Here is a 22,504-nt window from a genome sequence, read left to right as displayed (position 1 = left end):
CTTGGTACAATGCATTTGAATGCCTTCGTTTCCCTAACTGCAAAAGGAGTCACAGCCAAATAATTGAAAAATCAGAACACAACTAATGCCATCTACCTGCAGTGTAAACCATCCAGGCAGATGATAATTTATGTTTTACTTTAAAGTTGTTTTTCTTTCTTTCTTTCTTTCTTTTTTGTTTTGAGATGGAGTTTCGCTCTCGTTGCCCAGGCTGGAGTGCGCTGGCGCAATCTCGGCTTACCTCAACCTCCACCTCCCAGGTTCAAGCAATTCTGCCCCAGCCTCCCGAGTAGCTGGGATTACAGGTGCCCGCCACTATGCCCAGCTAATTTTTTGTATTTTTAGTAGAGATGGGGTTTCTCCATGTTGGCCAGGCTGGTCTCGAACTCCTGGCTTCAAGTGATCTTCTCACCTTGCCTTCCCAAAATACTGGGATTACAGACATAAGCCACCATCACTGGCCTAAAATTATTTTTAATTTGTTATTTTTATGACAAATTTATTGAGTACCACATGTGCCAGGTACTGTGTTAGATACTGGGGATTTTAAGATAATAGGATATAACTCTTGCCCTCAGTGAGAACACGCTGAACACTAAAGGTAGGTGAAGGGAATCTGGAAGGTCTGGAGGGTCTAGCTATGAGTTTTTCAAAAATATGATCTGAGGAAAACAAAATTGGCCTTGAGTTGATTGATAATTGTTGAAGCTGGGGATTGAAACATGATAGTTTAATATTACTATTTTGTCTCTTTTTTCCATGTTTGAAATTTTACATAACAGAAAAGTTAAGAAAAAAATATGTAATCTGGGGCCATAATCTGTAGAACCGCATGGAAGAGACTGATTGAAACACAGATTCTCTGGCCCCACCACGGTCCTAGTCAGCTTCTTGATGGGGTTCAGGAATCTGCATTGTAAATAAGGTCTTTGTATGAGTCCTATGCCTACTAAAATTTGAGTTCCTTGGCAGAGGACACAGTACATTCCAAGACTGGAGGCAGAAGAAAGAAGGAAAACTTTTTTTTTTTTTTTTTGAGACAGAGTCTCACACTATTGCCCGGGCTGGAGTGCAATGACATAATCTTAGCTCACTGCAGCCTCCGCCTCCCGGGTTCAGGCGATTCTCCTGCCTCAGCCTCCAGAGTAGCTGGGATTACAGGTGCCCGCCACCACGCCTGGCTTATTTTTTGTATTTTTTAGTAGAGATGGGGTTTCACTATGTTGGCCAGGCTGGTCTTGAACTCCTGACCCTGTGATTCGCCCACCTCAACCTCCCAAAGTGCTGGGATTATAGGCGTGAGCCACCGTGCCTGGCCGGAAAACTATTTATCAGAGAAGAAAAACTTCCTTGGAAGCCACTTAATGAGATCAGACAATTTCAGTACTATGTAGAGGACCTTTGCAGAGCCTGAGTCTAGGCCAAGGCATCTTAAATTGTAATGTACACAGGAATCACCTGGGAGCTTGTGAAAATGCAACAGGTTAGAGTGGGGATTGAGAGCCTGCATTTCTAGTTATCTCCCAAGTTAGCCGCTGATGCATTGCTGCTGGTCTGGGGATTGCACTTTGATAAGCAAGGGTTGGGGTAGCCTTAGTATTTTACAGATAAGAAACTGAGGCCTAGAGAGATGAATACTTGCTCTGTTGTTGCAGGCATTGATTCTATCATTTTGTGCTGCTATCTCCTAAGGATGCTGAGCCTTGGTAGGAGCCTATTACCAGTTGGATGTCATGAGCAGGCGGCACTTTAAACATAAAGATTGCAAACCTGGGGCTGAGCTGCAGTACAGATTTCTTCTCAGCACCTTGGGAATGGTCCAAGGAGTTGCAATGTGGCTGTTCTGCCACAGTCTGTTATTTCTTATCACTGTTACTGCATCTTCCAGGTCTGGTCTCTTGAATTCTATGAGAGTTCTTTGGCAATCATTAGACCTATTGAATGCATAACCCTATGCACTAACATATGCCCAGATTTATCTCATATATATATATTGTTGTTGTTGTTAAATGCTATTGCATTGAGCAAGTTTTGCAACTCTATCCTGAGTTGCAAAGACAACATGGGTAGACATCTATTAAATGTACTTCCTAATATTGGGACAGGAGTGAACTCCTTGATACAGGAAATTCCATGTCACACAAAGCTTGTAAGCTCAGGGAACTGATTATCCCAGGCGGGTACAGATTCAAAACTGCTTTGCTTTCTCACCCTCCTTGAAGGATAGATAAGATAGTTAAGCATCCTTAATGAAAAAGGATGCTTGGGGGGGTACTTCCTAACCTTTGAGGAAGAGGTTGAGGTTGAGTCAAAGAAGCTGTCCCTGTCCTGTTTCCCTGTCAGTGACAGAACTCAAGACAGGAGGACCAAAGAACTGACCCAGGGGCACGTTTCGTGATCACTAATTTCCAGGTAGTGAAGACTCAAGACATTTCTTAACAAAAAACATTACCAGAACCGCCGCACCCCCCATACTCCCCCACACATTCTTTTTTTTTTGAGTCGGAGTCTGGCTCTGTCCCCCAGGCTGGAGTGCAGTGGCGCGATCTCAGCTCACTGCAAGCTCCGCCTCCCGGGTTCATCCCATTCTCCTGGCTCAGCCTCCCAAGTAGCTGGGACTACAGGCGCCCGCCACCACGCCCGGCTAATTTTTTCGTATTTTTAGTAGAGACGGGGTTTCACCATGTTGACCAAGATGGTCTCGAACTCCTGACGTCGTGATCCATCCGCCTCGGCCTCCCAAAGTGCTGGGATTACAGGCTTGAGCCACCGCACCCGGCCTCCCCCACACATTCTCTGCCTATCTTGAAGCATCTCTTACTCTGGTCTTGAAACAATTTCTGCTGAAATGACTCTGAGTTAGAACGCCCTGTGATCTTTCCTAAAGACCTGAGCATGCCTCCTTGACATGCATCGCATTTACAGTTATATCCTTTCCCCTTGATCCAATGACTCATATTCCCTGAACCCTTTTATCTAAAAATGCTAAAGAGGGGACAAATGATTGGTAAGCAGAATCTCCTGGCCACTGCAGTCCCAATCAGAGTGAGGTTTGAAAGCTTTTCTTAGGCTCAGAGTCCAGGGAAAAGTTAATTTTTGGTTCTCGGCATGTGGACTTAGGTTTCTGTACCGGCGAGGAGTAAGGATGTGGAATGAGTAAACTCCCTGGGAGGTGGGGGGTGGGGAGGGGATGGGGCCTCCCTGGAGCCTCGGGCCATTAGTAATCTGCTTTGTGAATGGAGTTAAAGGAGGAGGGGGCTGCACATACTTGGAATTCCTTCATCTGGGTGGGCTCCTTCTCTCCAAACTTTCAGGATGTGGGAAATATAAGATGAAAGAAGCTGCATTTCCAGCCTATCAGGTTACAGCGTGGAAAATGGAGAGGGAAAGAAGTAGGGGGTGGAGAGTGGGGCGGGAGAAGGCCTCCCCGAGAGGGGCCAGGGAAACCCAGTTTGAGAACTGGCTGGGGAGAGTGAGAAAGAAAGAGTGCTGGGGCGGTCAGATCACGTTTCACATCACATCAGAGCTGTGGAATTTCCTCTCTTCTAGGGGGAGCCCTGTGAAGATGAAGTTGGTTTAAGGTTAGTCGGTGATGAATAATAGCCCAAAGGCGACTGATGGAGGGTGTTACTAAGTGACTGGTGTTTACAAGCAAAGCTTTGGTGGTGGGGTTGGGAGGTGGGAGCGGGAGCCATCTTCAATCTGAGTTGTTCACCAAATTCTGTGACCCGAGAATGGAGTCCATGTATGGATTTTATTTGTGTCTGACCTCTGTGGTATGCAGAGTCCTGAACACTCGGGCTGAGAAGGGGAGCAAAAGAAATGGGAAGGTAATTAGAAAAGGCGGGAGAACCTCCAGCGTGGGTAAGGGATGCAGGGCCCTCCGGGCACAATCAGTTTCTGCTTTGTGTCTCTGGCGTCCCTGGGGCGGTCCTGGCAGGATCTGTTTCTGTTCTACTTAATCCACGTGCTCCACACCACTCAGTTGTCACTGCCTGGCTCTCCGAGGACCTTACCTCCCCAGAGATGCGTTTATTTTTTAAGTGTACCCAGGCGGCTGTCCCTCCTTATTTTCTGTTATGAGAAAGAAAGCTCCACCCTGGGTGTGAAACAGAAGTGTGAAACTTCTGCGAGGCCGGGTAAGTGGCTCCTGAGGCCAGGTACACCCTCCTTAGGGAAGAATAAAAACAGTGGAAGACCACTGGGGTCAAGTTTGGGCCTAAAATTAAATAAAGGACAACGGGAGGGAAAATGGAACCAAGCAACTGGGCTGGTGGTGGCGTGTTAGGAGAAAAAGAATGTTTATTAAACCCTGATACCAACCACAGTCGGGTAATGTATTGTTCTAATATTATGACGAATAGAAAGTTATTAGATGGCATATAAATCATCACATACTACACATGACAAAAATATTGCTTGTTTTGAAAAAATTAGAATACAATAAAATACGCTTGTCACAAACCATAGCAAGCTTCATTTCATCTTTTTTCTCCTGTTTCAGAAAGCTGTTTAGGATTTTGCAGTATATCAGGGTCATCATTTTCAAACATCTATTAGTGCCATATTGTAGTCGCGTGAGAGGTTCAGTTAATAAAGGTTTCTGGTTGATAGATGGCTAGAGCAAACAGACTTTTGCACTATCTTCTCTGAATTGCTACTGAGTTATTACAATACACTGAGTCCATATTTTATCACTTTACAAACCATACACTCATATTTTCCCCTCCTCCCTCCCTTTCCAAACACTACCACCTCCAATAGTTTTGAGAAAAATAAATAGAATATTTCCTCCTCTTTGCATTAACTCCTCACAGCTCCCTTTCCAACACGAGCTGTAGCCTTGAACCTTGCTGGACTCAACTCCATTGCCTAATCCTTGCTGGTTTTGACACCCACAGTCATTTTCTAAGACTGGCTTTTTTTTTCTTTTTTTTTTTTTTTTCGTGAGGCCTATTAAATTTGGGATAGGTAGTATATTTGAACTGGTCCTTCTGGATTTCTGAGTGGTTTCCTAAGAACAGGTAAGGGTAGTAACTTGAGTGGTATTTCCTGTGTGCCCCAGTGAAATAAGTCAACAGCATGTTTTTCTAAGTTGAAATGAAAATTAATATTTTTTTTTGAGATAGGGTTTTGCTCTGTCGCTCAGGCTAGAGTGCAGTGGTGAGATTACAGCTCACCTTGACCTTCCGGGTTCAAGCAATCCTCCCACCTCAGCCTCCTGAGTGGCTGGTACTATAGGTGCGCACCACCATGCCTGGTTAATTTTTTTTTTTTTTTTTTTTTTTTTTGCGGGGGGGCAGGTATTTTTTGTAGAGACGAGGTTTTGCCATGTTGCCCAGGCTGGTCTTAAAGTCCCAGATTCAAGTGATCCACCCACCTTGGCCTCCCAAAGTGCTGGGATTACAGGCGTGAGCCATCGCACACAGTGGAAAATTATTATTTTTGAGACGGAGTCTCGCTCTGTCGCCAGTCTGGAGTGCAGTGGCACAATCTCTGCTCACTGCAACCTCCAGCTCCCTGGTTCAAGTGATTCTCCTGCCTCAGCCTCCCAAGTAGCTGGGATTATATGCACTCACCATCACGCCCAACTGATTTTTGTATTTTTAGTAGAGACGGGGTTTCACCATGTTGGCCAGGATGGTCTCGATCTCCTGACCTCAAGATCCGCCCGCCTCAGCCTCCCAAAGTGCTGGGATTACAGGCGTGAGCCACCATGCCTGGCTGGGAAAATTAATTTTTGAAAGTCCTGTAGTCAGCCTAGTCCACCGTAGCCTGCTGTTGACCTTAGTTTTGGAAGAGCTAAGGACTCAAATGTTAAAATTAGAACTGACTTTCAGTACTGGCCCTACCTACCAGCTGAGTACCTTATTTTTATTTAACGAACACTTATACAACATATACGAGGTACCAAGCACTGTTCTAAGTATTTTAGAAATATTTGCTTGGCTAATCCTCATAGTGGTGTTATTGTAATATAACACTATTATGAAGTATGTTGTTATTATCCTCATTTTACAGATGAAGAATCTGAGATGTAATTTGCCAACCTATGAACCTGAGTTTCAGCTCACTGCCCTAGCATATCCCCAGTTGGCTGGAGGGATATAGCCCTGTTTCCACATCTGCCTGCATGCAACTTTGAACAAATCACTTGGCATTGCTAGGAGGCATATGAGGGGTATGAAACTGTAGGCGGCAGGGGAGACAGGGCCTTTACACACACATGAAAAAGCAAAGAGCATGTATTTGGTACCCTTTTAGGGAGCGAGAGGAACGGGAGATTTCTCGGGCTGTTCCTCCCACCCCCATCCCTGCATAGAGCAGCATGTTTGGGTTACTTCAATACCTTCTTATAATTCAATTCACAGCCTCAGCCTTGTACCATTTCCGTTTCCTTGAACTGCATCTAGACGTGATTCTGGTCCCCACCAGCTTCTGACCTCATTACTCATTCTGTTTACAGCTTGGCCTCACCCTTCAGACTGCCCTGATTTCCCAGATAGGAATTTGGCTGCCCTCACTGACTATGATTCAGATTTTCGCCCCAGCCACATTGCACCAGGCCCTCCTGTGTCCACACCCCTCCGCTCAGGCTGGCACCCTGGGACCCTCACCTCCTTCCCTCACTGAAACCCCTGTCAAGGATCAGGCAGGTCTCTATAAAATACATCCCACCACGGAGAGTCTGGGCAGGATTACGGAGGATCTTGAAGGAAACTTGGGAAACTCTTGAAGGATTTGGAGTTGGGGGATAACGTGATGAAGGGGGATAGATTAGAAGGAGGTAAGGCTGGAGGCAGGGGCCTCTGTCAATGAGCTATTGCAGTGACACAAGTGACCCAAGGAAGGGCTGAGGGGGGTGCCCTGTGGAAATGGAAGTGAAGCGTGAATGGGAGACAGAAGATGAATCTCAGGACACTTGGTCATTGCCTGGATTTGAGAGGAATGGGGTGAGGAGAGTCGCACACCGCGATTCTCCAAGGTTCCCATATGAAGCATCTGGGAAGCTGATGACTCAAGGACGGGACCAGGGTGCTTGTGAGGCAGTGGAAGAGCCTGGCCTCGTGCCTGGCAATTGGGAATAGGCTCAACAAATGTTTACAGGAGGAGGTATATTTATATCAAACCTCTAGATCTAGTCATTAAAATGTTAATGCCTGGCCGGCCACTATGGCTCACGCCTGTAATCCCAGCACTTTGGGAGGCCAAGACAGAATGATTGCTTGAGCTGGGGAAGGTCGAGGCTGCAGTGAGCCGGGATCCTGCCACTGCACTCCAGCCTGGGTGACAGAGTGAGGCCCTGTCTCGAAAAAATAAAAATAAATAATGTGGGTTTTTTGGGTTTGGGTTTTTTTGAGACAGGATATGGCTCTGTCATCCAAGCTGGAGTGCAGTGGCACAGTCTCAGCTCATGTAGCCTCAACCTCCTAGGGTGAAGCCATGTTCTCTCCTCAGATTCAGTAGCTGGGACTATAGATGCGCCACACCATGCCTGGCTAATTTTTCTATTTTTGTAGAGACAGGGTTTTGCCATGTTGGCCAGGCTGGTCTCGAACTCCTGAACTCAAACCATCTGCCTGCCTTGGCCTCCCAAAGTGCTGGGATTACAGGCATGAGCCACCAAGCCCAGCCCCACAAAAATAAATAAAATAAAATAAAATAGGTTGGGAGTGGTGGCTCACGCCTGTAGTCCCAGCACTTTGGGAGGATGAGGTGGGTGGATCACTTGAGGTCAGGAGTTCAAGACCAGCCTAATCAATATGGTGAAACCCTGTCTCTACTAAAAATACAAAAATTAGCCAGGCGTGGTGGTATATGCCTGTAATCCCAGCTATTTGGGAGGCTGAGGCAGGAGAATTGCATGAACCCAGGAGATGGAGGTTGCAGTGAGCCAAGATCACGCCACTGCACTCCAACCTGGGTGACAAAGCAAGACTCCATCTCAAAATAAACAAATAAATAAATAAAATATTAATGTCCCATGGAAGGATAAAACCAAGAGCCACAGTGAGCCTTGTACACCTTTGTCTTAAGAGAAAGAAGACCCAGGGGAAACCCGGGAATGAGGTTTGGGAGGCCCGCCTCGGCCTCCCAAAGTGCTGGGATTACAGGCATGAGCCACTGCGCCCGGCCTCCATGTACCTTTTTCTTTTTCTTTTTCTTTTTCTTTTTTTTTAAGACAGAGTCTCGCTCTGTCCCCCAGGCTGGAGTGCAGTGGCGCGATCTCAGCTCACTGCAACCTCCGCTCCCGGGTTCACGCCATTCTCCTGCCTCAGCCTCCCCAGTAGCTGGGACTACAGGCGCCTGCCACCACGCCTGGCTATTTTTTTTTGTATTTTTAGTAGAGATGGGGTTTCACCGTGTTAGCCAGGATGGTCTCGATCTCCTGACCTCGTGATCCGCCCGCCTCGGCCTCCCAAAGTGCTGGGATCGCAGGCGTGAGCCACCGCGCCCGGCAGGTCTACTTTTCTTTTTCACCTCTCTTATCTCCTTAGCAATTTAGGCCAGAACAGGAAAGAGTCCCCCAAAGAGAGAAAAACTCTTAAAAGTAATTGAAAAAAATGTTCTTGTGTTCATGTGTGACCATGCATATATATTTTTTTGGATACAGAGTCTCTTTTTTTTTTTCCAGGCTGAATCTTGCTCTGTTGCCTAGGCTGGAGTGCAGTGGCGCGATCTCGGCTCACTGCAACCTCTGCCTCCTGGGTTCAAGCGATTCTCCTGCCTCAGCCTCCCGAGTAGCTGGGATTACAGGCTCCTGCCACCATACCCGGCTAATTTTTGTATTTTTAGTAGAGACGGGGTTTCACCATGTTGGCCAGGCTGGTCTCGAACTCCTGACCTCGGGATCTGCCCTCCTCAGCCTCCCAAAGTGTTGGGATTACAGGCATGAGCCACCGCGCCTGGCCCAGATCAAGTTTTGATAGATAGAGATAATAGTCCCAGCAGCCACCATGTATTTTTCCATTGCTAGGTGCTGTGTTGATGGCCTTGTATTCATTCTCATTGAGTCCTCTCAGTGACTGTCTGTCACATATGCCTATCCCTGTTGGACAGATGAGAAAATTAAGACTCAGGGATTAAGTGACTTGCCCAGCAGTAGTTGCATGTTGATTCCTTTTATTTTATTCTATTTTTTTGTCTTGTCTGATTCCAAGCTGACATTTATTGAGCACTTACTACCTGCCAGGATCTATACCAGTGCTTCACAATGGGTCCTCAGGACCACACTATGTGAGATAATATTCTTATTGTCCTCATTTTTCAGGTCAGGAAGCAGGCTCAGAGAGGCTTAACTTGCAAATATCACACTACTAGGAAGTGGCAGAACCAGGCTGTGACCCCAGGCAGTGGGATTCCTAGCTTTTGACCACTGCATTTCGTCATTAAAAACCCAAGACAACCTCTCTGTGATTTAGTGTTACTCCTGAAGTGATCCCAGGGAAGGACCCTCAGGACACGTTAGATCAAGACTCCAGGGTTTGCTCTGACTGTCTACAGAAGGGAGAGCTGGGGAGGATAGGGCTGGGAGGTTGAATCTGTTAATATCTGCACAGAGGAGGGCAGAAGCAGCTAAGCGGTGTTCGTACTGCTCTGTGTGTGCCCTGGAAATGCAAGCAGCCCTCAGCTTCTGTGGCTGGCCTGGATGGCTGGCAGCAAGCCTGCAGGAGGGAAGCCCCATCTCAGGGAGGGGCAGCCAGACCCTCCGGCAGTGGCTTCCCCCTCGCTGACCTTTAGCTGGAGCTGATGAATTGGCAGCAACTGTGTGACATCAGGGAGACATTTTCTTCTTTGTGAGCTCAGAGCTTCCATTTAAAAATTCCTCAGTCACAGGACAGAGGCTGCAGAAGCCCGGGCAACACTTGTGGTGGCAGCAGGTGATGTGCACTTGTTCCAAGTCCTCCAGAAGTCTGCGTAATCCTCGGGATTCCGGGCGGCTGCTGGGATGGCCATGTAAGGTGCGGTTGTTGGCCTTATTTATCCCTGTGGCGCTGCCAGCTCTTAGAAGCCCTGCAAGGAAGGGATCATGGGGGGGCGGGGGGGAGGGCTGGTCCCATCAGCTGGCGCCTGGGAGTCACCAGCTTCCTCCAGCAGTTTCCTCTGCCTGGCCCCTCTCTACCTTCTTGTCTTTACCCCTGGTGAAAACCAGCACTCAATTTAAAATTAAGTGAGCTCAAAAGTTATCCAAACATGTTTGTCTTGACTTTTGTATGTGGGGCAGGTGGAGTGGAAGGAAGAGAGGCTGCAGTGAGTCAAGATTGCGCCACTGCACTCCAGCCCGGGTGACAGAGCAAGACTCCATGACACACACAAACACACACACACACTCACACACACACTCTTTTCCCTAAACTTGACGGTGGCAGAAGGAACCATTATTTTATTGCAGCAAAGGGCAAAGTTGAAAGGGAAATTAGATCTCTAAATACTCCAAGCCCCTCATTTTACAGAGGAGAAAACTTCCAGCTCAGAGAGGGGAAGTGACTTGCCCAAGGTCTCACCACAAGTTAGAGGCAGAGGCAGGACCAGAACTGATTACCTTGGGCAGGTTAGCTTTTCTCTCTGAGCTTCGTTCCTTCATTGATAAAGTGACACGGTGGGGTTTGATGATGCGCAAGATTTATCTCCAGATCTCAAAATACAGAACCGTAATTGAGTGACTCTCTCAGGCTCCCTGAGGGATCCTAGAGGATCCAGGGGAGCAGAACTCTGGAGAAGGCAGGATATATGGTAAAGAAGGTGGGGACTGTTTGATGAACAAGTAACTCCAGGATCTTGGGACAGACGATTCATTACCTTGGCTAGCTGCCTCTTCACCTCAGTCTCTCCCCCTGCCCTTGCCCTTGGAGAAAAGCATTCATCCCAGAACAGCCATCTTCCCTCTTTTCCCTTCTTCCCAACCCACAGATGTATATATTCCCTAATTTCTGATTATTTACTGGGCCGCTATTACTCTAGCTTATATATTTATAGCTTTCCGGTAACACTCATCTAGGAATCACTCAGTGTGCCAGGTACTAAGTACTTTACATTATCACATTTAATCCTCCTACCTCCATCCTCTGAGTTAGGCTATATTATCCTCAGTATGTAGATAAAGAAACCCAGGCTAGGTTGAGTGCTGTGACTTACACCAGTAATCCCAACACTTTAGGAGGCCAAAGCCAGAGGATCGCTTGAACCTAGGAGTTCAAGGTCAGTCTGAGTAACATAGTGAAAACTTGTCTCTATAAAAAAGAAAGAAAAGAAACCGAGGCTCAGAGACTTACATATTTGCATGTTCTTATAGTTAATAAGTGGGGAATCCCTAAAGTGACCCAAATTTGGCTGGAGACTAAGGGCATTTTTTTTTTATTTATTTATCCTTATTTTAAGATGGGGGTCTTGCTATTTTGCCTGGGCTCGAACTCCTAAACTCAAGCGATCCTCCCTCCTCAGCCTCATGATGCCATCATGCCTGGCGCTGAGCTCTAGTTCCTTTTTTTTTTTTTTTTTTTTTTTTTGTGAGACAGAGTCTCACTTTGTTGCCTATGCTGGAGTGCAGGGGCGTGATCTCAGCTCACTGCAGTCTCAACCTCCTGGGCTCAAGCGATCCTCTTGCCTTAGCCTCCAGAGTAGCTGGGACTACAGGAATGCACCACCATACCAGGCTAATTTTTTGATTTTTTTTTTGTAGAAATGAGGTCTTGCCATATTGCCCAGACCGGTCTTGAACTCCTGAGCTCAAGAGATCCTCCCGCCTCAGTCTCCCAAAGTGCTGGGATTACAGATGTGAGCCACCACACACCTAGTTCTTTTTTCTTTTTTTTTGAGATGGAGTCTCGCTCTGTCCCCCAGGCTGGAGTGCAATGGCACGATCTTGGCTCACTGCGACCTCTGCCTCCCGGGTTCAAGTGATTTTCCCTGCCTCAGCTTCCCGAGTAGCTGGGACTACAGGTGCATCCGCCACCACGCCCAGCTAATTTTTTTGTATTTTTAGTAGAGAGGGGTTTCAACATGTTGGCCAGGCTGGTCTTGAACTTCTGACCTCAGGTGATCCACCCACCTTGGCCTCCTAAAGTGCTGGGATTACAGGTGTGAGCCACTGCGCCTGGCCTAGCTGTAGTTCTTAACCACTGCCCTGGATTGCCTCTCTGGCAGCCCTGAAGCTCTGGCTATGGTCTATTAGTTGGGTTGGATGTAGTAGGTGCTAATGAGACTGTGAGGGCCCAGTGTATTTGTCCTAACTCGAGGCCAGAGACTGCACCCTTGAATGTGACCCCCTTATCTCACAATGAATACGCAGGATTGGGGCTCGGCATAGGGAAAAGAAGGAGGATCGTTTGTGTCTTTCATGACTACTGGACAAAAATTTGAAGTGATCAGGTATCATTTTGTTATGCTGAGTTTTCTAGTAGCTAAAAAGGATACAAGCCCACCAAGTTGTTAACATTGCCACACTACATTATACAGATCTGTTTGCAGACACTTCCTAGTGCAGCAGTTTAAATACTATCCTATAACTGAATCCTGTAGTTTTGGCACTAAAGTACATTTCGGTTACCCTGAGTCATGTTCTCGTGGCACCTCCAGCTGGTCAGCAAGTCACACAAAGTGGCGTGGAGATAGTAGCTGAAAATGCAATCATACCCTGTTTTCGTAGATTCCAGGGATCTGCCAGGAAAGACAATTCTCGAAGAGGTGCCATCAAAGGTCTGAGGGTTGAGAGGCCAGGTGGGTGGGACTTGGTGTGAAGCCATGCAGGTACCCTCAGGGACAAGCCATTCCTTTGTTCATTCCTTCCACATACTCTTACTGAGCACCCATAAAGGCAGGTTAGACCCAAGACTATGTTGGACCCTGAAAATTCTGAAACTATGTTAATATGCTATCAACATATAAGCAAGCTATTATTATACAATGTGAGACTTGCTATCTTAGAGCTATGAGCCCTTGGGGGAGGGAGGAATTAGTTTTGCTGGGCCAGGGGTGAAGTGCTGGTCTCGGAAGGCCTCCCTGGGAAGGTGTCCTTTGAGCTGAGTATGGAGATAAGAGAAGGAGGGGAGAGTACATTCCAAACCCAGACAGAAGCTAGAGCAAAGGTACAAAGGCCTGCGTGACCACAGCCTGATCAGGGAACTTGGAGTCCAGCATGTTCTACAGAGAGCTGGCTTGTCTTTTTATGCAAAGAACTTTTACAGGTATCAGTCTATATCATCATTATCGTCAAAGCTTACATTTATAGAATTGATTCTGTGCCAGACACTGCAAAGTGCTTTACTCACATCCTGTTTTATTTTTATTATTTATTTATTTATTTTTTTTTTGAGATAGAGTCTCACACTATTGCCCGGGCTGGAGTGCAATGGCACGATCTCGGCTCACTGCAACCTCTGCCTCCCGGGTTCAAGCGATTCTCCTGCCTCAGCCTCCCAAGTAGCTGGGATTACAGGTGCCCCACCACACCAAGCTAATTTTTGTATTTTCAGTGGAGACGGGGTTTTGCCATGTTGGCCAGGCTGGTCTTGAACTCCTGACCTCAAGTGCTCCACCTGCCTCAGCCTCCCAAAGTGCTGGAATTATAGGCGTGAGCCACTGCACCTGGCCAGAGGGTGGGCTTTTAAATATGGGGAGGACATGCAGTGGGGATGTTAGGATTGAAAGTTAATCAGATTTAGATTTGGAGGGCTATAAATGCCAGACTGGAGAGTTTGAACTTCATTTTGTAATGGTATAAAGAAAAATGGAGGGGAAAGGAATGTCTGTTCTGCCTGGGCACTGAAGTAGCACATACCTTATCACATTCAGCCTTGGTGAGCAATGAAGGTTTTGAACACAGCACAGATACATTTGAAGAAGGTAAACTGTATGGGATGCAGGATGAATGGAAGTGAAGGAGTTTACAAGTGGGGTTCCAGTTTGTAAGTTATGTGAAAATCCACTGGTGAAGAGTAGAGAGTTAGAGCCTAAATTACAGTGATGGCAATGGAATAAAAAGGGAATATTTAATTTTATCCATTTTTGTTTTGTTTTGTCTTTTGGAGACAAGATTTCAGTATGTTGCCCAGGCTAGTCTCAAACTCCTTGCCTCAGGCAATCTTCCCACCTCAGCCTCCCAAAGCACTGGGATCACAGGCATGAGCCACCGTGGCCAGCCCTGGCCCTGGGACATTTTATATAAATATGCTAATATGTGATAAATGTTTTTTTACAGTGAAATTATTCTTAAGGTTTTTGGAGAGAAAATGTATAAAGGCTTTAACTATATAAAGTATGTGTGATTTTAATAAAATTAATGTAGTTATAGTAGTTATACTGAATTGAACCGACAAATATCTTTTTAAACAGAAACTCTGGTTCATCAGTTTTCCACAATTGATTATTTGATTTTTGGATATTAGTTTTTTTGTTTTTTTGTTTTTTTTTACTATGGACCCCACTTGAACAGTTACAATACATTCTCTTGCAAATATTTTCAGCCCAGAATGCCACTTGTTGCCTGTACCCGAATGAAACTCAGATATCTGGAAGCTTGAATCGGAGCCTAAACTTAGCCCCCTACTGACTTGGAGAAGAATCTAAACTTGGCAAAATGCCTCCATCTCTCTTCAGGCAACGGTCAAAAAGTAGCTCCCTAGCCCCCCACCCTCAACTAATGAACTATATCTAATAGCCTCCCTTTAGAGAGTCCTTTGAGAAAGAGATGGCGTTTGTTTTTGACCTCATTATCCATTTCAGCCTGTCCTTGATGAAAATAATCGCCCCTTAGGCAGGTACATTCCTCACATTCCTCTCCCAGTTAGCTGCTAAGACGTCGTTAACCCCAGTGACCATGGGAAAACGCCGCTGTCTGCTTCAGAGAGTCTAAGGGGAGTGGGCCCAAGATAACAAGAGGTGAAGAGGTCAGAGTGGGAGCCCCTTTCATCTTTTCAGGCTGTTTCCAACCCAGACAAAGGATTCTGTCCAGGGGTGCAAAGCCCACGCGGCTTTATTTTATGGTGTGGCCCTGAAAGGGGGCTGGGAGGGCCGTGTCTTATCTGGATATTGTTTTGGAGGCGAATGCCGGGCTCCCGGGAAGTCCTCGACTCCTGGGGGAATGCTAAGTGGAAGGAAGGGCCAGCAGCCCCCACTTGGGCGGAAGAGACCACCCAGCTACTCAGAGGAGGGTGTGAAGGGCTTGAATGGAATGAGCTGCCCTACAGGATTTATCATTCAGACAGTGAGATTAAGGGTGTGAGACTGTTTAGCTGCTTCAAATCAGGGAAGCTCTTGGATTTGCCGCGAAAGAGAGAAAGGGAAGGGGGCAAGTGGCGGGGGAAGGGAGGTCGGGTGGTGTGGAGACGGACGGCAGGCAAGGACAATTTGGAAATCTGTGGGGGAGGGGGAAGATCCGGATTTCCTCCCATCTTGCCGCTAACCTGCTTTACACTTTGAGCAAGTCACTTCTTCCTTTTGCAAAATGAAGGGATTGGAAGGATACCAGAAGGTGCCTCAAGGGGCTGCCTTGGACTAAGGGGAGGGGAAGACTTGTGCTGCTCCACCTCCTCCCCCATACCCTTTCCCCTAACTTGCCTCATTGACTGTGTTTTATTAGAAAAGCAACACAGCCCGTCGGCCCGGCGCGGTGGCTCCCGCCTGTAATCCCAGCACTTTGGGAGGCCGAGGCGGCGGATCACGAGGTAAGGAGATCGAGACCATCCTGGCTAACAGAGTGAAACCCCGTCTCTACTAAAAATACCAAAAAAAAAAAAAAAAAAAAATTAGCCGGGCGTGGTGGCGGGCGCCTGTAGTCCCAGCTACTCGGGAGTCTGAGGCAAGAGAATAGCGTGAACCCGGGAGGCGGAGGTTGCAGTGAGCCGAGATCGCGCCACTGCACTCCAGCCTGGGCGACAGAGCGAGACTCCGTCTCAAAAAAAAAAAAAAAAAAAGGGAAAAGCATAACACACATTTCATTGTTTGTTTATTTATTTATAGAGATGGGGGTCTTGCTATGTTGCCCAGGCTGGAGTGCAATGGCAATTCACAGGCTCAATGACAGCTTTCTACAGCCTTGAACTCTTGGGCTCAAGCGATCCTCCTGCCTCAGACTCCTAGAAAGCTGGGCCTGGCAACAAACTTATTTATTTACTTATTTTTTTTTTTCTAGAGACTGGGGTCTTGCTCTGCCCCAGGCTGGAGTGTAGTGGCACCATCATAGCTCACTGCTGCCTCGATTTCCTGGGCTGAAGGGATCCTCCCACCTCAGCCTGCCTAGTAGCTGGGACTACAGGCACGCATGTGCCACCATGGCCGACTTATTTTTAAATTTTTTGTAGAGACAGGGTCTCGCCATTTTGCCCCGGCTGGTCTCGAATGCCTGGGCTCAGGCGATCCTCCCGTCTTAGCCTCCCAAAGTGCTGGGATTATAGGTGTGACCCACTGCACCCGGCCCAACAAATTCATTTAATCCAAGTTTTGCTTGATGTAGGAGCCTTCAGAAATGAAGGTCCAAAGACCCAGGGAAAATGGTCTCTTTTTTTGCTTAGGCTGGGTGAAGAATGGACAGCTGTGTAGAAACAGGATTGGACAAAAGGGGATGATCTAGTGGTAACAGACTGAGAGGGAGGCCCAGCAAGGCCTTCTGTGCAGATTCGCCTTGGTCTCCCTGTGTAGCATTCCTTCCTCCAGGGTCTGGGGCAGGACCTTCTGGAATGAAGGTCTTCAAGGGAGAATGGAGGCTGAGCGCGGTGGCTCACGCTGGTAATCCTAGAACTTTGGGAGGCTGAGGCGGGCGGATCAGTTGAGGTCAGGAGTTTGAGACTAGCCTGGCCAACATGGTGAAACCCCATCTCTACTAAAAATATAAAAATTAGTTGGGCTTGATGGTGTGTGCCTGTAATCCCAGCTACTTGGAGGTTGAGACAGGAGAATTGCTTGAACCCAGGAGGCGGAGGTTGCAGTGAGCCGAGATCGCGATGCCGCACTCCAGCCTGGGCGACAGAGCGAGAGACCCTGTCTCAAGAAAAATAAAAGAAGGGAGAAGGGAGAGAGAGTGACCTTTTTAGGTTTTAGGGCTTGCTATTGGGGAGAGGGATCCTAGTTTCCTTTCTTTCCCCTCTCCTCCCCTCTCCTCCCCTTCCACTCCCTTCCCCTCTCCCTCTGCTCCCCTTCCCCTCTGCTCCCCTTCCCCTCTGCTCCCCTCCCTTCCCCCCTCCCCTCCCCTCCTCCCCCATCCTTTTCTTTCTTTCTTTTTTTTTTTTTTTAATAGGCGGAGTCTTACTCTGTCACCCAGGCTGCAGTGCAGTGGCACGATCTCAGCTCACTGCAACCTCCGCCTCCCAGGTTCAAGCAATTCTCCTGCCTCAGGCTCCCAAATAGCTGGGATCACAGGCGCCCGCCACCACGCCCGGCTAATTTTTGTATTTTTAATAGAGGCGGGGTTTCACCATGTTGCCCTGTTGGCCAGGCTGGTCTCGAACTCCTGGCCTCAAGTGATCCCCCCCGGCTCGGCCTCCCAAAATGCTGGGATTACAGGCCTGAGCCACCGTGCTCAGCCTTGGGATTCTAGTTTCTATAACCCGCTTTGGGGAAGGGGAATTTTGTTTTCTAGGATTTTGGGTGGAAGAAGCAAGGGCGAGAAACAGGAGGGCAGGAGGTCAGAGAGAACTGACTTCTGAGGCTGCTTTGGAGGCCTTCCAGCCTCCTTTAGTTCATGCCAAAGTGCCACGCTTTGGAGTGTTGTTTTGGAGCACTAGCAACATCTCCTGTTTGCCCCTGCAGATTGCCCCCCATCCGCCTGCACCCTGCTGGGTGCTCCAGGAGGCTTCTGTGTGCTGCTCCCCTGTCCTCCTCTGGCTTCTGGTTGGGTTTGAGGGATATTCCTTCCCCTTCTTCCTCCCTTCCAGATCACCGAAGACTAACAGAGTCCCTCCATCAAAGCCTGCAGCTCCTGTCTGGGGGCCCTTGAACCCTCTCCAGGTAGTTCTCCCCTCATGTTCCAGCAGGGCCCCCCTTCCCCCTTGACACCTGGCCTAGCCATGGAAACAGCGCCCCTCTGCTCTGTCGCTTTTCCAGAGCCGCCCACACCTTTGTAAATAGCCCCTTTATTAGACCCTTCTCAATTTTCCCAATTTTGAGCGTGCCATCTGTTTCCTGCAGGGAGTCTGACTGTCACGGGATATACATCATTGGTATTTTCCACATTACCACATGTAATCTGTGTGGACCATAGCTGCATAGCATTGTGTTGAGCATATATACCATAATTCAGTTAACCATTCCCTTGTGGGTCCACATTCAATTGGCCTCATTTTTTTCTGTATGAAAACCTCAGTGAAATACTCCTTGCCTGAACTTTCTTTCCTGTCTGGGTTTAAGTTCACAGTAGGTGATTGGTCCTTTCTACAGGTATGTTTTCAGCTGTGATCCTTTGCTGCCCTCAGGAAACTTACCAGTTGACAGGACAAAATTGAGACACATTGTTAGAGCAACAATGGAGTACAATTACATGAGATGATTAGAAATTCAAAGATAGGCCAGGCACGGTGGCTCACGCCTGTAATCCCAGCACTTTGGGAGGCTGAGGCAGGCGGATCACTTGAGGTCAGGATTTCGAGACCAGCCTGGCCAAATGGTGAAACCCCATCTCCATTAAAAATATGAAAATTAGTAGGGCATGGTGGCACACACCTGTAGTCCCAGCTACTTGGGAGGCTGAAGCAGGAGAATTGCTTGAACCTGGTAGGTGGAGGTTGCAGTGAGCTGAGATTGTGCCACTGCACTCCAGCCTGGGCAACAGAGCAAGACTCCGTCAAAAAGAAAGAAAGAAGGAAAGAAGGAAGGAAAGAAAGGAAAGAAAGAGGCTGGGCGTGGTGACTCATGCTGATGCCTGTAATCTCAGCACTTTGGGAGGCTGAGATGGGCAGATCACGAGGCCAGGAGATCAAGGCCATCTTGGCCAACATGGTGAAACCCTGTCTCTACTAAAAATACAAAAAAATTAGCCAGGCATGGTGACACGCGCGTGTAGTCCCAGCTACTCGGGAGGCTGAGACAGAAGAATCGCTGGAACCTGCTAGGCGGAGGCTTCAGTGAGCTAAGATCGCGCCACTGTACTCCAGCCTGGGCGACAGAGCGAGACTCTGCCTCGAAAAAAAAAAAAAAAAGAAGAAGAAAGAAAGAGAAAAAAGAAAGAAAGAAATTAATTCAAAGATAGATGAGAAATGGTTGGTTGGAAAGAGACTTGCTGGCTGTCTGCACTCTCAGGACAGAGCCGTCTAAAGTGGCATTTATCACTGTGGCTAATTTATTTACCAGAGTAAATAAAAAAAATCAGACCCTTGCCTGATTTTGTCTGATTTTTGTCTGGTTTTGTTTGATTAGTATATAAAATAAGAATGCCAATTGTTTCGTTTACGAGTAGAAAAAATAATGTCTATTCTAATGTTATGTGGACCTGAATCTTTGCATCAAGTGGAAGCCCAGTGATAACAGGAACATTGTTTGGGGAAGCTCAGTTTCATTGCAAGGAATGGTCAGATGATTGAAAGCTTTAAGGACATCAAGCTTTACAGGCAGACTCAGCCATCTCCACAGTAGGGATTGCCTTGCCCGTCTTATGGGATGCTAATAAATATTCCAAGCCTGTTGGCCAAAACTCCCTTCTCTACGCTCTGGATAGTGCTCTATAAGCACTGTCACCTGGAGTAACTCCACCTTTTCCCAGCCTTTGACCCTGCATTTAAAGGATGCTTTGCAACTTTCATCTGCATGGGAATCACCTGGGGATCTTGCTAAATGCAGATTCTGATACTATGGATCTGAGTGGGGCCTGAGAGCCTACTTTATTTTTATTTTTAGAGACAGAGTCTCACTCTTTTGCCCATGCTGGAGTGCAGTAGCACAGTCATAGCTTACTGCAGCCTTGAACTCCTGTGCTTAAGTGATCCTCTTGCCTCAGCCTCTCGAGTAACTAGGACTACAGGTGCATGCCACCATACCTGGCTTTTTTCTTTTTTTCTTTCTTTTCTTTTCTTTTTTTTTTTTTTTTTGTTGAGACAGAGTTTCGCTCTTGTTGCCCAGGCTGGAGTGCAATGCCATCATCTCGGCCCACTGCAACCTCTACCTTCCGGGTTCAAGCGATTCCTCTGCCTCAGCCTCCCGTGTAGCTGGGATTACAGGCATGTGCAACCACACCCGGCTGATTTTTATTTTCAGTAGAGACGGGGTTTCTCTGTGTTGGTCAGACTGGTCTCAAACTCTCAACCTCAGGTGATCTGCCCACCTTGGCCTCCCAAAGTGCTGGGATTACAGGCATGAGCCACTGCACCCAGCAAGAGCCTGCATTCTAAATATGCCTCAGCAGATACCAAAATGTGTTCAAGCAATATGCAATGGAGTCTTCTGGAGCTGCTGAGTCTCTTTAAAACAATGTTTATCTCTGCTCTAATCTCCATGAGGTGGTTGCTTTACAATTTATTAGGGTGGGCCAGGCACGGTGGCTCACGCCTGTAATCCCAGCACTTTGGGAGGCCGAGGCAGGCGGATCACGAGGTCAGGAGATTGAGATCATCCTGGCTAACATGGTGAAACCCTGTCTGTACTAAATATATAAAAAATTAGCCGGGGGAGGTGGTGGACGCCTGTAGTCCCAGCTACTCGGGAGGCTGAGGCAGGAGAATGGCGTGAACCCGGGAGGCGGAGCTTGCAGTGAGCCAAGATCGCACCACTGCACTCCAGCCTGGGCGACAGAGCAAGACACCATCTCAAAAAAAAAAGCAAAAAAAGAAACCCCATCTCTACTAAAAAATACAAAAAGTTAGCTGGGCGTGGTGGCGGATGCCTGTAATCCCAGCTACTCAGGAGGCTGAGGCAAGAGAATGGCGTGAACCCGGGAGGTGGAGCTTGCAGTGAGCCGAGATTGCGCCACTGCACTCCAGCCTGGGTGACAAAGCGAGACTCCTTTCTCAAAAAAAAAAAAAAAAAAAAAAAAATTTTATTAGGGTGGTGCAAAAGTAATGGTGGTTTTTGCTACCCCCTTTACTTTTGCACCAATGCAATAATACTCAGGTGGGAAATTTTCTGTTTTAGTTACTAGTTGAGGAGTCACCTGGGTGAGAGGGGACCTTTGCAGTAGTTCCCTAATGCAGCAGGAGAGAGATCCCTGAGGAGGTGCGAGCTTCACCTGGAGTTGAAGGCCTGAGGGTCCCACTTTCATGCTATCTCCCCATGCCCAGGAACTACAGACTAACCACTCACCCTGCCCTTTTTTTTTGAGACAGAGTCTCGCTCTGTCGCCCAGGCTGGAGTGCAGTGGGGTGATCTCGGCTCACTGCAACCTCTGCCTCCCAGGTTCAAGCAATTCTTCTGCCTTAGCCTCCTGAGTAGTTGGGATTATAGGCCCACGCCACCACGCCTGGCTAATTTTGGTATTTTTACTAGAGACGGGGTTTCACTGTGTTGGCCAGGCTGGTCTCAACCTCCTGACCTCAGGTGATCCACCCACCTTGGCCTCCCAAAGTGCTGGGATTACAGGCTTGAGCCACCCCGACGTGCCTCACCCTGCACTTTTACCTAAAACTGGAAATCTCAGCTTATCTGAAATCTTTGTTTCCTCTTTCTACAGAGGAAGAAAAACAAAACCTATCTAAGTATTTGTGAAATGACTTAGCTTGAGCCTTCAAAGTCAGCCCCTCCATAACTTTAAATGAGTAATTGAGTAGACTATAGATGGAGGAATTAATCACCACCATATTACTAAAGTTGTCTTACATTTTAAAAACACTTGACAGTTTTCAGAGCATCTGAACATCTATAATCTTTTAGATCTTTTCAACAACCCTGGAAGGCAGAGCAGGCATTATTATCCCCTTATAATCCCCATTTACTAGATAAAACTGAGCCTCAGAGAGAGGGCAAATGATATATCCAGGCTCAACTAGCTACTAGTGGGTAAAGTTTGGTTAAAGCTTTTTTTTTTTTTTTTTTTGAGACGGAGTCTCGCTCTGTCGCCAGGCTGGAGTGCAGTGGTGCGATCTCAGCTCAGTGCAACCTTTGCCTCCTGGGTTCAAGCAATTCTTCTGCCTCAGCCTCCTGAGTAGCTGGGACTACAGGTGTGCACCACAACGCCCCCCAAAAATAATTTTTTTTTTTTTCTGAGACGGAGTCTCACTCTGTTGCCCAGGCTGGAGTGCAGTGGTGTGATCTCTGCTGACTGCAACCTCCACCTACCGGGTTCAAGTTATTCCCCCGACTCAGCTTCCCCAGTAGCTGGGACTACAGGCATGCACCACCACGCCTGGCTAATTTTTGTATTTTTAGTAAAGACAAGGTTTCACTATGTTGGCCAGGCTGGTCTCGAACTCCTGACCTCAGGTGATCCGCCCACCTCGGCCTCTCAAAGTGCTGGGATTACAGGTATGAGTCACTGCGCCGGGTCCAATTTTTATATTTTTAATAGAGACAGGGTTTTACCATGTTGGCCGGGATGGTCTTGAACTCCTGACCTCATGATCCGCCCACCTCAGCCTCCTAAAGTGTTGGG

The 22,504-nt window shown here is 47.5% G+C and overlaps 8 annotated features.

Moving 5' to 3' along the window:
• Positions 2,969–3,805: an enhancer, noted in NCBI's record as "OCT4-NANOG-H3K27ac-H3K4me1 hESC enhancer chr6:37105214-37106050 (GRCh37/hg19 assembly coordinates)". NCBI's record gives its function as "activates a minimal SCP1, AML or CMV promoter by ChIP-STARR-seq in primed H9 embryonic stem cells {active_cell/tissue: H9 hESC(primed)}" and the evidence as "EXISTENCE:reporter gene assay evidence [ECO:0000049][PMID:30033119]".
• Positions 8,946–9,863: an enhancer, noted in NCBI's record as "H3K27ac-H3K4me1 hESC enhancer chr6:37099156-37100073 (GRCh37/hg19 assembly coordinates)". NCBI's record gives its function as "activates a minimal SCP1, AML or CMV promoter by ChIP-STARR-seq in primed H9 embryonic stem cells {active_cell/tissue: H9 hESC(primed)}" and the evidence as "EXISTENCE:reporter gene assay evidence [ECO:0000049][PMID:30033119]".
• Positions 9,864–10,782: an enhancer, noted in NCBI's record as "H3K27ac-H3K4me1 hESC enhancer chr6:37098237-37099155 (GRCh37/hg19 assembly coordinates)". NCBI's record gives its function as "activates a minimal SCP1, AML or CMV promoter by ChIP-STARR-seq in primed H9 embryonic stem cells {active_cell/tissue: H9 hESC(primed)}" and the evidence as "EXISTENCE:reporter gene assay evidence [ECO:0000049][PMID:30033119]".
• Positions 13,535–14,212: an enhancer, noted in NCBI's record as "H3K27ac hESC enhancer chr6:37094807-37095484 (GRCh37/hg19 assembly coordinates)". NCBI's record gives its function as "activates a minimal SCP1, AML or CMV promoter by ChIP-STARR-seq in naive H9 embryonic stem cells {active_cell/tissue: H9 hESC(naive)}" and the evidence as "EXISTENCE:reporter gene assay evidence [ECO:0000049][PMID:30033119]".
• Positions 14,314–15,292: an enhancer, noted in NCBI's record as "OCT4-NANOG-H3K27ac hESC enhancer chr6:37093727-37094705 (GRCh37/hg19 assembly coordinates)". NCBI's record gives its function as "activates a minimal SCP1, AML or CMV promoter by ChIP-STARR-seq in naive and primed H9 embryonic stem cells {active_cell/tissue: H9 hESC(naive and primed)}" and the evidence as "EXISTENCE:reporter gene assay evidence [ECO:0000049][PMID:30033119]".
• Positions 14,636–14,930: a silencer, noted in NCBI's record as "tiled region #7886; K562 Repressive DNase unmatched - State 5:Enh". NCBI's record gives its function as "represses a minimal TATA promoter and a strong SV40 promoter by Sharpr-MPRA in K562 cells {active_cell/tissue: K562}" and the evidence as "EXISTENCE:reporter gene assay evidence [ECO:0000049][PMID:27701403]".
• Positions 15,293–16,271: an enhancer, noted in NCBI's record as "NANOG-H3K27ac-H3K4me1 hESC enhancer chr6:37092748-37093726 (GRCh37/hg19 assembly coordinates)". NCBI's record gives its function as "activates a minimal SCP1, AML or CMV promoter by ChIP-STARR-seq in naive H9 embryonic stem cells {active_cell/tissue: H9 hESC(naive)}" and the evidence as "EXISTENCE:reporter gene assay evidence [ECO:0000049][PMID:30033119]".
• Positions 16,272–17,250: an enhancer, noted in NCBI's record as "H3K27ac-H3K4me1 hESC enhancer chr6:37091769-37092747 (GRCh37/hg19 assembly coordinates)". NCBI's record gives its function as "activates a minimal SCP1, AML or CMV promoter by ChIP-STARR-seq in primed H9 embryonic stem cells {active_cell/tissue: H9 hESC(primed)}" and the evidence as "EXISTENCE:reporter gene assay evidence [ECO:0000049][PMID:30033119]".

This window comes from Homo sapiens, chromosome 6, assembly GCF_000001405.40.
Source record: "Homo sapiens chromosome 6, GRCh38.p14 Primary Assembly".
NCBI lineage: Eukaryota > Metazoa > Chordata > Mammalia > Primates > Hominidae > Homo > Homo sapiens.
The sequence above is the reverse complement of the archived record's forward strand: the minus strand, read 5'-3'. Positions and strand labels throughout refer to the sequence as shown.